Source organism: Homo sapiens, chromosome X, assembly GCF_000001405.40.
Source record: "Homo sapiens chromosome X, GRCh38.p14 Primary Assembly".
Lineage (NCBI taxonomy): Eukaryota > Metazoa > Chordata > Mammalia > Primates > Hominidae > Homo > Homo sapiens.
The window spans coordinates 96,481,579-96,495,947 of NC_000023.11; the positions used below are offsets into that span (position 1 = coordinate 96,481,579).

At 38.5% G+C, this 14,369-nt stretch overlaps 1 long non-coding RNA gene across 1 annotated transcript in view, besides 1 other annotated feature; it reads right to left on the bottom strand.

Moving 5' to 3' along the window:
• Positions 1-14,369, bottom strand: part of LOC107985714 (uncharacterized) — a 114,069-nt gene that overhangs the window by 53,308 nt on the left and 46,392 nt on the right. The window lies entirely within an intron of this gene.
• Positions 1,882-2,701: an enhancer, noted in NCBI's record as "OCT4-NANOG hESC enhancer chrX:95738459-95739278 (GRCh37/hg19 assembly coordinates)". NCBI's record gives its function as "activates a minimal SCP1, AML or CMV promoter by ChIP-STARR-seq in naive and primed H9 embryonic stem cells {active_cell/tissue: H9 hESC(naive and primed)}" and the evidence as "EXISTENCE:reporter gene assay evidence [ECO:0000049][PMID:30033119]".

Genomic DNA, 14,369 nt, shown 5'->3' on the forward strand with positions numbered 1-14,369 from the left:
TATGTCATTTGTATTAGCCTCTTGATCCAGCCTCAAATAAGTCCTAAACTCTTAAGTTGAAACCGCCTTTGCAAAAATTTTAAACTGAGGAAATTATGACAGTGAAAGAGATTAGACCTAATTGACTCCATCTTGCGTCTAAGTTTTAAGCTGTACTTGTTCATTCCTGAGCATAGGCCGAAGTAACCTTGGGAAGAAGTGCAGTTTATGGTTTCACTCTGAAACAAAATTGATAATAGCCCTTTACTGAAAAGACCCCTTCTTGCCTGGGGACCAGTCTGCCTTTGTAGGACTGACAAATTAGCTACAAGATTAGAAATTATGGTTTAGGGGTCATGCAGCCTCTGTCTGCAAAAGTCTGAACTTCCCAAATTGCTTGGGGATAACATCACTATTGTAAAACCTGAGATCAGTGCTTGAGATATTTGCAGATCCTGCACTGGATAGATCAGCTGACATAACCCAGACTGGTAATCTGGCTCAACCAGTTCTGCCTTCCCACCCAGGAACAGAAGACAGCAAGAAAACCTCACTTCGATCCCCTATGATTCCACCTCCAACCTGACCAATCAGCACTTCCCACTTTCCTAGCCCCTAGCCGCCAAAATATCTGTTTAAAACGCCAATCCCCAAATTCTCCATGAGACGGATTTGAGTAATAAAACTCCAGTCTCCCACACAGCCAGCTCTATGAAGTACTCTTTCTCCATTGCAATTCCCTTGTCTTGATAAATTGGCTTTGTCTAGGCAGCAGGTGAGGTAAACCCGATGGGCAGTTACAAAGTACTTGGGGTTATAGGCATCATTCCATGGGATCCCTCATCAATAGAGGGTAATACTAGAGACAAACAAGAGCAAGTAAAAGAAGTAGGCAGCCTGGTAAAGGTGCTGTTGCACTCAGTGGACTGATTTGTTCATAAATATGTTACTGGTAGAAAGTATCTGAGTTACTGGCAGAGAATCACATGGGTCTGCAGCAACCTCAGTTCTTGCCTCCTCAGAAGAAACAATCCAACTGAGGGGAATAAGGCAGAAAAAAAGACCAAGGCAAGTTTCAGAGCAGGAGTGAAATTGTATTAAAAAGCTTTAGAGCAGGAAAGAAAGGAAAGTACACTTGGAAGAGACCCAGGTGGGCACCAAGAAGGTCAAGTGTGGCATTTAACTTTGATCTTAGGACTTTATAGGCTGACCCACTTCTGGTGTATTGCACCCCTTTCCCATGCTTCTTCCCTTAGTGTGGGCTGCCCACATGCGCAGTGCCCTCCTTACGCTTGGGAGGTGAGCACGCGCAGTGTGTTTAGAAGTTGCATGCATGCCCATCTGAGGGTTTCTTCCCTTTTCCGGTGGAGTGCCCCCAGAAGGTCATACTCCACCATTTTGTCTCTTAATGTACATGCCCAGGCTCACTCACCCAGTACCTGCGATTTTATTGGAAGCTCTTTTTGCTTCTCCCTGGTGCCTGCATTCAATTAACACTCTAATGTAACAGCTGTGGACCATCAGGAGATTGTCTCTCCCTGGCACGGTTGCCGAATTATCATTTTTAGAGAGGCAATGTGATAATTGTTGAACCATCACCTGACATTAACTGGTGGGTGGGGGAAGAGCCCTCTCCTGCCCCACTCATATCTGTCTAACTACCTGTAACAAATACACATAAGGGAACCCTTGAAACGTTCCAGAAACTCTTGGGGGAAGGATCTTTAAAGAAACCTGTAGTCATGTGTCAAACAGATGGGGGCATGTACAACTTATTTGAGGTATTATTATTTACGTGAAACTCAAAGGCTGGTGAGGCCTGGAGAAACGGGAATCATGGACAAAGTTCCTAATCCTTCTGGAGCAGCCGAAAATGATCTTACAGTGGAAGTGACCTTTGACTCATGACCTGAGAGAGGGTCCAAAGGACATTTCAGACTAGAGCAGAGGGTATGCACAAAGACACAGAGGGTCACTATGCTTATTTTTGAAAATTAATTTGCATGGACCAAGTGTTTTTCGTTTTGTGCATAGCTACACGTGTACATATTTAGCAGGAATCCTGGCATTTGACCACAGTAGCCACTGAGAGCAGCTCAACTATTTCTCATAACTGTTAAAATTATTCAAATATTAGAATTGGAAGGAACCAAAGATGCCATCTATACTCCGCCACCATGAAAGTGCAAGGGATAATTGCAAAGCTATTAGCAACCTCCAAGGCTCAATAACCACCTTGCTTTCATACAACATTTGCTTTGTCGTGTAAATTAAGAGGCACTGAATATCACCACAGGATTTGGAAGGCTGAGGGGATGCCAAAAATCTGGTCAGCAGGTCATAAGTATTTCTTTTGTTAATCTAATAGTCTAGTAATTTGACATACAATGAGGGCAGAAAGTTACCTCTATAATTCCTTGAGGTTCAGACAGCATTTATACTCCTGACACTCCATTTGCATGAAGAGAGACAGAAGAAAAGGGTGTTAATGTCTAATTGTTAATGGATCACATAGTTTAACTCTAGCATCTAAATGTCATGATAGAGCCTGCAAACTGAACACTGTGAATCTAATTGAAATTATTTTTGTGTCACTTTACAGTGATTGTTTCTTTCACATTGTCTCAAATAATGGCTGAATTAATTCTTCAGGAATTATACAGAGCAGAATTCCCTTTATATAGAGAAATAAGATGATCTTGTATTACTGTAGTTAAAAAACAAATAGCAAGCACTGACTACAGTACCAAATGTCATTTCTTTGAAAACCTGGGCCAACAAAAAGCAACTCTAAAATTCAGTAAACAGATTAAAATGAAAATGTTTCCATGACTTTTCTCTTCCAATGCAATTTGACTATGACAGTATTTCAAGGATTATAAACAAAAACCTTGGTAACAGATACAAGAACTTTAAGCATACTTATATATTATGGCACATGCATTATATTTAGCCTTTCCAGTGTGAGATTATCAACAACACATTGTTATCAAAATTACACACCAAAAATGTCCCATGCCAAAGCTAAAATAGTCATTTCTATTTCGTTTTTAGTAGCTTTAATTTTAAACTATTCTTAGGTTCATAGAGTACTATTACCCAGGTACTCTTCATTATTGTTAGGCATTACAAGCAAAAAAAATTTAATATAAAATCTGCATGTTGGCCAGGTGCAGTGGCTCACGCCTGTAATTCCAGCACTTTGGGAGGCCGAGGTGGGCGGATCAACATGTCAAGAGATCAAGACCATCCTGGCCAACATGGTGAAAGCCTGTCTCTACTAAAAATACAAAAATTAACTGGGCGTGGTGGCACATGCCTGTAATCCCAGGTACTCGGGAGGCTGAGGCAGGAGAATCGCTTGAACCCAGGAGGCGGAGGTTGCAGTGAGCCGAGATTGTGCCACTGTACTCCAGCCTGGTAACAGAGTGAGACTCCATCTCAAAAAAAAAAAGAAATCTGCATGTTATGCACCTTGTAATAAGACTAAATTAGCACCATCTACACAAAGAATTGTTAGAGATATAAAGTCTAAGGCCTTTCTCTTAAAGGACTTGTGGTCTAGTGGACAAGATGAGATATATACACACAAAATGCTCAACATATGATGGTACCTCTGTGTCAAATGAACGTAACAGACAGTAACAGCTATAGGAATTCAGATGAGGGTCCAAGATTCCTCTGTATAATATGGCTTTGCAGGGCTAGAATTTCTAAAATGCTTTCTTTATGCTGGACAGTTTAGCTGCAATTAGAGCTGAGATACTATTTGTTAGACAATAGTGTATTGGTTATTGTCTCATAACCCTGGGATGGTTAATTATGTCAATTGTAATTTTTTCATATTTTATTAAAATATCTAACCACATGTATTCCAATTATCATATTAAAAATAACACAATAGGAGCAAAGCTTAAATAATTAAAATATCTAAATATCATATAGTCTTAATTTCTTTTTTAAAATTCACTCCCTTTATGACTAAAAACTTGTATCTTCAGTTTCCAGATCCAAGAAGATGTGCTAATACCAATCGCTTTCTGACAATCACTATACCACTAGCATAAAATTTTAAAGTGACCTCAATATAATATAATCTCAGTGGTTTTAATATGGAACCTACTGAATATGCAGTTCCGTACTCATCCCAAACTCTAGATTTTCCCCTTTTTCCCTCTTTAGTAAAATCTATTATATTATGACTGCATGAGATGAGCCATCTCCATGAGATGGAGAAAGTAGAAAATAAACACGAAAATGAGATTCTTTAGGTCATTTGTAAATGCATCGCTTCATTCAATCTGCCCTCCATTCCATAAGTTGCTTCAATAAAGTGATTGTAATCAGTCTTAGGAAGATTAATACAAACAAAACTAACATTTCCCTTCTCTTCTAGTTAATATCTGCAGTCAGAGGCTTTCACATTTATATGTAAGAGAGGAGAGAGGCCGGGTTTGGTGGCTCACATCTTTTTTCCCAGAACTTTGGGAGGCTGAGGTGGGAGGATTGCTTGAGGCCAGGAGTTCAAGACCAATCTGGGCAACATAGTGAGCACTGTCTCAAAAAAAAAATTTTTTTTAAAAAAGAAGAGACAAAGAAAAATCAGTCATCTTGGAAGGTTCAACAGCAGCCGACTGTCTTCTAAATATCAAACAGCAACTCTTCTTTCCATATTTCAAAAGATTAATATAGCATTTGAAATTATCTTTTCATTCCATTTTTATTGTAATGCTCTAATTTTGTTACTATAGTAACCATTTTTTATTTGAGTGAAGGCTTCATTATCGTCACTTTAATTGTTTTGTTTTCTACTCTAGCTTCAAGTGAGTTTTAAAAATGGAAAATGGACTTATTTACTATTCTCTAAATATTACAGAACAGAAAGACAATTCAGACAATGATTCTGTATGACTATATTGAAAATATCTGTTTATATACAAATCATCACTGCCTATTTTAAAATATCAGCCATTGTACTTAAACCAGACCATTGTTCCCTATAATTAAATGTAAGAGTGCTAGTAACTAATCTGCAACACACCACTGAAAGGTATACAATATGCAGCTACTTCTGCGATACCTAATTGTTAAAGAAAATTTATTTTTGGTGGAGCCAAGGTGCCCGAATAGGAACAGCTCCAGTCTACAGCTCCCAGGGTGAGCGACGCAGAAGACAAATGATTTCTGCATTTCCAACTGAGCAAGCAGCACACCAGGAGATTATGTCCGTGCCTGGCTAGGAGGGTCCTATGCCCACAGAGCCTCGCTCATTGCTAGCACAGCAGTCTGAGATCGAACTGCAAGGTGGCAGTGAGGCTGGGGGCGGGGCGCCCGCCATTGCTGAGGCTTCAGTAGGTAAACAAAGCGGCCTGGAAGCTCGAACTGGGTGGAGCCCACCGCAGTTCAAGGAGGCCTGCCTGCCTCTGTAGACTCCACCTCTGGGGGCAGGGCATAGCCAAACAAAAGGCAGCAGAAACCTCTGCAGACTTAAATGTCCCTGTCTGACAGCTTGGAAGAGAGTAGTGGTTCTCCCAGCATGCAGCTTGAGATCTGAGAACGGACAGACTGCCTCCTCAAGTGGGTCCCAGACCCCCGAGTAGCCTAACTGGGAGGCACCCCCCAGTAGGGGCAGACTGACACCTCACATGGCCAGGTACTCCTCTGAGACAAAACTTCCAGAGGAACGATTAGGCAACAACATTTGCTGTTCACCAATATCCACTGATCTGCAGCCTCCGCTGCTGATACCCAGGCAAACAGGGTCTGGAGTGGACCTCCAGCAAACTCCAACAGACCTGCAGCTGAGGGTCCTGACTGTTAGAAGGAAAACCAGCAAACAGAAAGGACATCCACACCAAAATCCCATCTGTACGTCATCATCATCAAAGACCAAAGGTAGATAAAACCACAAAGATGGGGAAAAAACAGAGCAGAAAAACTGAAAATTCTAAAAATCAGAGTGCCTCTCCTCCTCCAAAGGAACGCAGCTCCTCACCAGCAACGGAACAAAGCTGGACAGAGAATGACTTCAGATGATCAAACTACTACGAGCTAAAGGAGGAAGTTCGAACCCATGGCAAAGAAGTTAAAAACCTTGAAAAAAGCTTAGACGAATGGCTAACTAGAATAACCAATGCAGAGAAGTCCTTAAAGGACCTGATGGAGCTGAAAACCATGGCACGAGAACTACGTGAAGAATGCACAAGTCTCAGTAGCCGATGCGATCTACTGGAAGAAAGGGTATGAGCGATGGAAGACGAAATGAATGAAATGAAGCGAGAGGAGAAGTTCAGAGAAAAAAGAATAAAAAGAAATGAACAAAGCCTCCAAGAAATATGGGACTATGTGAAAAGACCAAATCCACGTCAGATTGGTGTACCTGAAAGTGACGGGGGGAATGGAACCAAGTTGGAAAACACTCTGCAGGATATCATCCAGGAGAACTTCCTCAATCTAGCAAGGCAGGCCAACATTCAAATTCAAGAAATAAAGAGAATGCCACAAAGATACTCCTCGAGAAGAGCAACTCCAAGACACACAATTATCAGATTCACCAAAGTTGAAATGAAGGGAAAAATGTTAAGGGCAGCCAGAGAGAAAGGTCAGGTTACCCACAAAGGGAAGCCCATCAGACTAACAGCTGATCTCTTGGCAGAAACTCTACAAGCCAGAAGAGAGTGGGGGCCAATATTCAACATTCTTAAAGAAAAGAATTTTTAACCCAGAATTTCATGTCCAGCCAAACTAAGATTCATAAGTGAAGGAGAAAACAAATCCTTTACAGACAAGCAAATGCTGAGAGATTTTGTCACCACCAGGCCTGCCCTAAAAGAGCTCCTGAAGGAAGCACTAAACATGGAAAGGAACAACCAGTACCAGCCACTGCAAAAACATGCCAAATTGTAAAGACCATCAAGGCTAGGAAGAAACTGCATCAACTAACGAGCAAAAGAATCAGCCAACATCATAATGACAGAATCAAATTCACACATAACAATACTAACCTTAAATGTAAATGGGCTAAATGCTCCAATTAAAAGACACAGACTGGCAAATTGGATAAAGAGTCAAGACCCATCAGTGTGCTGTATTCAGGACACCCATCTCACGTGCAAAGACACACATAGGCTCAAAATAAAGGGATGGAGGAAGATCTACCAAGCAAATGGAAAACAAAAACAGGCAGGGGTTGCAATCCTACTCTCTGATAAAACAGACTTTAAACCAACAAAGATCAAAAGAGACAAAGAAGGCCATTACATAATGGTAAAGGGATCAATTCAAAAAGAAGAGATAACTATCCTAAATATATATGCACCCAATACAGGAGCACCCAGATTCATAAAGCAAGCCCTTAGAAACCTACAAAGAGACTTAGACTCCCACACAATAATAATGGGAGACTTTAACACCCCACTGTCAACATTAGACAGATCAACAAGACAGAAAGTTAACAAGGATATCCAGGAATTGAACTCAGCTCTGCACCAAGTGGACCTAATAGACATCTACAGAACTCTCCACCCCAAATCAACAGAATATACATTCTTTTCAGCACCACACCACACATATTCCAAAATTGACCACATAGTTGGAAGTAAAGCTCTCCTCAGCAAATTAAAAGAACAGAAATTATAACAAACAGTCTCTCAGACCACAGTGCAATCAAACTAGAACTCAGGATTAAGAAACTCACTCAAAACCACTCAACTACATGGAAACTGAACAACCTGCTCCTGAATGACTACTGGCTACATAACGAAATGAAGGCAGAAATAAAGATGTTCTTTGAAACCAACGAGAACAAAGACACAACATACCAGAATCTCTGGGACACATTCAAAGCAGTGCATAGAGGGACATTTATAGCACTAAATGCCCGCAAGAGAAAGCAGGAAAGTCTAAAATTGACACCCTAACATCACAATTAAAAGAACTAGAGAAGCAAGAGCAAACACATTCAAAAACTAGCAGACGGCAAGAAATAACTAAGATCAGAGCAGAACTGAAGGAAATAGAGACACAAAAAACCCTTCAAAAAATCAGTGAATCCAGGAGCTGGTTTTTTTAAAAGATCAACAAAATTGATAGACTACTAGCAAGACTAATAAAGAAGAAAAGACAGAAGAATCAAATAGACGCAATGAAAAATGACAAAGGGGATATCACCACCGATCCCACAGAAATACAAACTACCATCAGAGAATACTATAAACACCTCTACGCAAATAAACTAGAAAATCTGGAAGAAATGGATAAATTCCTCAACACATACACTCTCCCAAGACTAAACCAGGAAGAAGTTGAATCTCTGAATAGACCAATAACAGGCTCTGAAATTGAGGCAATAATTAATAGCTTACCAACCAAAAAAAGTCCAGGACCGGATGGATTCACAGCCGAATTCTACCAGAGATACAAGGAGGAGCTGGTACCATTCCTTATGAAACTATTCCAATCAATAGAAAAAGAGGGAATCCTCCCTAACTCATTTTATGAGGCCAGCATCATCCTGATACCAAAGCCTGGCAGAGACACAACAAAAAAAAGAGAATTTTAGACCAATATCCTTGATGAACATTGATGCAAAAATCCTCAATAAAATACTGGCAAACCGAATCCAGCAGCACATCAAAAAGCTTATCCACCATGATCAAGTGGGCTTCATCCCTGGGATGCAAGGCTGGTTCAACATATGAAAATCAATAAACATAATCCAGCATATAAACAGAACCAAAGACAAAAACCACATGATTATCTCAATACACGCAGAAAACACCTTTGACAAAATTCAACAGCCCTTCATGCTAAAAACTCTCAATAAATTAGGTATTGATGGGACCTATCTCAAAATCATAAGAGCTATTTATGACATACCCACAGCCAATATCATACTGAATGGGCAAAAACTGGAAGCATTCCCTTTGAAAACTGGCACAAGACAGGGATGCCCTGTCTCACCACTCCTATTCAACATAGTGTTGGAAGTTCTGGCCAGGGCAATGAGTCAGGAGAAGGAAATAAAGGGTATTCAATTAGGAAAAGAGGAAGTCAAATTGTCCCTGTTTGCAGATGACATGATTGTATATCTAGAAAACCCCATCGTCTCAGCCCAAAATCTCCTTAAGCTGATAAGCAACTTCAGCAAAGTCTCAGGATACAAAATCAATGTGCAAAATTCACAAGCATTCTTATACACCAATAACAGACAAACAGAGAGCCAAATCATGAGTGAACTCCCATTCACAATTGCTTCAAAGAGAATAAAATACCTAGGAATCCAACTTAAAAGGGATGTGAAGGACCTCTTCAAGGAGAACTACAAACCACTGCTCAACAAAATAAAAGAGGACACAAACAAATGGAAGAACATTCCATGCTCATGGGTAGGAAGAATCAATATCATGAAAATGGCCATACTGCCCAAAGTAATTTATAGATTCAATGCCATCCCCATCAAGCTACCAAGGACTTTCTTCACAGAATTGGAAAAAATTACTTTAAAGTTCATATGGAACCAAAAAAGAGCCTGCATTGCCAAGACAATCCTAAGCCAAAAGAACAAAGCTGGAGGCATCATGCTACCTGATTTCAAACTATACTACAAGGCTACAGTAACCAAAACAGCATGGTACTGGTACCAAAACAGAGATATAGACCAATGGAACAGAACAGAGCCCTCAGAAATAATGCCACATGTCTACAATTATCTGATCTTTGACAAACCTGACAAAAACAAGAAATGGAGAAAGGATTCCCTATTTAATAAATGGTGCTCGGAAAACTGGCTAGCCATATGTAGAAGGCTGAAAGTGGATCCCTTCCTTACACCTTATACTAAAATTAATTCAAGATGCATTAAAGATTTAAATGTTAGACCTAAAACCATAAAAACCCTAGAAGAAAACCTAGATAATACCATTCAGGACCTAGGCATGGGCAAGGACTTCATGTCTAAAACACAAAAAGCAATAGCAACAAAAGCCAAAATTGAGAAATGGGATCTAATTAAACTAAAGAGCTTCTGCACAGCAAAAGAAACTACCATCAGAGTGAACAGGCAACCTACAGAATGGGAGAAAATTTTTGCAATCTACTCATCTGACAAAGGGCTAATATCCAGAATCTACAATGAACTCAAACAAATTTACAAGAAAAAAAACAAACAACCCCATCAAAAAGTGGGCAAAGGATATGAACAGACACTTCTCAAAAGAAGACATTTATGTAGCCAAAAGACACATGAAAAAATGCTCATCATCACTGGCCATCAGAGAAATGCAAATCAAAACCACAATGAGATACCATCTCACACCATTTAGAATGGCGATCACTAAAAAGTCAGGAAACAACAGGTGCTGGAGAGGATGTGGAGAAATAGGAACACTTTTACACTGTTGGTGGGACTGTAAACTAGTTCAACCATTGTGGAAGTCAGTGTGGCGATTCCTCAGGGATCTAGAACTAGAAATACCATTTGACCCAGCCATCCCATTACTGGGCATATACCCAAAGGATTATAAATCATGCTGCTACAAAGACACATGCACACGTATGTTTATTGCGGCACTATTCACAATAGCAAAGACTTGGAACCAACCCAAATGTCCAACAATGATAGACTGGATTAAGAAAATGTAGGACGTGTACACTGTGGAATACTATGCAGCCATAAAAAAAGGATGAGTTCATGTCCTTTGTAGGGACATGGATGAAGCTGGAAACCATCATTCTCAGCAAACTATTGCATGGACAAAAAACCAAACACCACATGTTCTCACTCATAGGTGGGAATTGAACAATGAGAACACATGGACACAGGAAGGGGAACATCACACACCGGGGCCTGTTGTGGGGTTGGGGGAGGGGGGAGGGATAGCATTAGGAGATATACCTAATGTTAAATGACGAGTTAATGGGTGCAGCACACCAACATGGCACATGTATACATATGTAACAAACCTGCACATTGTGCACATGTACCCTAAAACTTAAAATATAATAATAAAACAAAGAAAGTTTATTTTTGACTTCGTATTATATTGAGAAATGTAAAGATGGTAATCACAATATTTGCATCATTACACAATTTGTATTTTAGGAGCGAGAAACTCATAATAGATTAATCTGATTTTTCATGGTATTAATTGAAATAACCAATTAATTTAAGTTGTTTATGTCTGATTAACTTCTTAATAACAACTCCATTCATGGCTCAGTGCTTAACTAGCCAAAATAACCAATTTTATTTTGGAAAGGATTAATCAGTAACAATGAGCACCAAAGCTTCAAGGGCAGTATTATACTGAAAGTGACATTTCCAATCTTATAGAGCAGGGGTCTCCATCCTGAGCCGCAGACTGGTACTGGTCAGTAGACTGTTAGGAACCTGCCTGCACAGCAGGAGGTGAGCAGAAGGAGATCGAACATTACCACCAGAGCTCTGCCTCCTGTCAGATCAGCTGCCACATTACATTCTCATAGGAGCATGAATCCTACTGTGAACCTGCAAAGGATCTAGATTGTGTGCTCCTTGTGAGAATCTAACTAATGCCTGATGATCTGAGGTGAAAAAGTTTCATCCCGAAACCATCCCTGTCCCCTCACCCCATCAATGGAAAAATTGTCTTCCACGAAACCAGTCCCTGGTGCCAAAAAGTTTGGGGACTGCTGTTATAGAGGAAAAACAAATCCACATTCACTAAAGACGCAATTTGGGAATTAATATATCGCCTAATATACACTTAAAATTATTCAAGATTAACCAAATGGAAGTATAGAAATGCATTTTAAAAACTAAAAAACACTAAACTTAAAATCACAAGGTCATGCCTCTTTTAGCATATTCAAATTGAAGTCATCTGAAATCATTGAATATTAACTCATTGTTTTTGCATGTACATAAGTAGCACATTTTATCTAAGAAACTAGACTTTTAAAAATAAGTAAAGTTATTTCGGTGCCTTCAGAAATGAAAAAGCTAAAATACAAAGCAAAGTCTCTTTACCCATGAACAAGTTGAACAAAGATTTTTATTTATTAGCAAAACAAATTACTAATCTTTCTATAAAATAATTATTTGTATTTGTATAATGTTCTATGGCTTATGACTTACACACCCAACATTTTATTTAATCCTCTCAACAGCCTTGTAAGGTAATCACTATCACCATTTTACAGATTAAAAACAAATTCAAGACTCATTTTGAATACGTGACTTTCTAAGATTATAGTGCTAATGAGTGGCAAAGTCTCAAATTCACTCATCTCACTCACAATCCAGTACTTTTCCACTAAATTCACAATTTAGATTGCTTTCATCATTAAAGAATCATTACTAGTGTCATCTGAGAAAAAAGACCAATCCTTATGAGTCTAGGCCATATGGGCAGATGAACAATGAAGAAGGAGAAGATATATGAACTTTCAGTTCAGGCTTATCAACAAGTAAATTCTATAACTACAGACAGAAGCATTACCCCATGATGAATGCATAGCAATGTCTAGAAAATACTCTCCAAATCTAGATGAATAATCTTTCAACTGTTTAATAAGGAAATTTCACCTAACAAGATTTTTTCCCTCCATACAAATGGGGTAAAATCCAAACCAATTCAATGCTAAATAAATAGTAAAATTATTTTTCTCATCCTTCAATGTAGAAGTTGCTTTTCTTAGGCAAATTCACAGGGACAGTCTACATATTTTAAGAATTCTCATTTAGTGTTACATCGTCTCTCGCCTTTTCCTTATGGCTGAAACTTTGAGCAAGACCAATAAATCATGACCAAGCTAAAACTGAGCAAGATCCTTAGAAGCAGAATAATCAAGACTTATACGCATTTGAGAGACCTGTAAAGTATGAACGAATGTTCTCTGCCCCTTCAATTCTATTCAGTCTGCCTAAAATTATTTAAGACTTGCATTTGACGTAATTCTTAAGTCTTTAGTGGCTAAGATGTCATAACATTTTTGAGGAAATATGTAAATATTATGTAAATATTGATCTACAACTAAACATGTTTGCAAGAATTATCTCAATGTAGTTAATATTTTGGTTAAATCAGTGTTCTTTTTTATGCAAACTATAACTTTCACCATTGGCATTGATCTGTATCTCAATATATTCATTTAATATGGACATTTTATATTTGTAAATTCAAAGTTAAGTATATAATACATATTTGAAGATAGCAGGCCAAAGAGACTATTTTTTTTCTAATTGACATTGAAACAAATGATTAGCATGCTGCAGTACTCGTCTAACTCTTTTATATTCATTAATTATTAAGGATTAATTCTGGTGAAAATCCAGAGAATGCTTATGATGATGAATTCTTAAGATATACGACTGTTGGAGGAGATAAGAAATTTTCATTAATTTATCATGTATTGAAATACACTATAAAGATCTTGACTGCTATAAATGTCTCCTACTTTTTTCATATAATTACTAAATATTGGTGGAGAATGTACATTAACATTTGCCCATTAAAATCCAATTACAATTTTCTAAACTATTACGATTTATTAACCTTGTGCAAGGTTATATACAAATTATTCAAATGCTTTTTATTTGTGGAAGTACTTTATATACATTACCTTTTTCACATGCATTGCCTCATCTGATCCTGCCAAAAATCTTGTGAGAGAGAGCAGTTAGTAAGCCCATTGTAAAGGAAGAGAAGGCAGGCCCATGTGTAGAAACCAAGCTGATTAAGTGCCAACTATATACTAGGTACAGCCTTAGACTCTTAAAAAAGATAATCAGGGAGCATATAATCTAGCAAGGAAAACAATTAAACAGGTATAAGTATGAACTCTGGTGAGTACTATGATAGGACAATCAAGGATGCTATGAGAAGTCATAAAAGGGCAACCTGACTTAGTCTTGGAGGAGGTAGAGAAGCCTCCTTGAAAGAAGAGATATTTAGGATGAGCAAAATCAGGAAGTTCCTTCAAGACATGCTCAATTTTTTATGCTTTATTGTGAAGGCTATAGGAGTAATGGGAGAAAAACAAGGAAAAATGCTAGAAACACAGGTCCAGGCTAACCTAAGAAAAAAAAAATTGGCATCAGCATTCATTAGTCACTTAATATGGGCCAGGAATTGCAATGAATATATTTCTGCAATCTATATCTTACTTAATCCTCACATCAACCCTAGGAGGTATTGACACTGGTATCAAAGTTATTGTTGCTATTATTATTACGAGCAGTAGTAGTAGCAGTAGCAGCAGCAGCAGCAGTAGTAGTACTAATATTTGACCTAAATGTACAACTAGTTGATGATTACTTAAATACATTATAACAGGTCATTAAACAGCAAACACGGTAATACCCGATTTTATAGAAAACAGTAGAAAAACTATGTCAGACAGGATCTGAA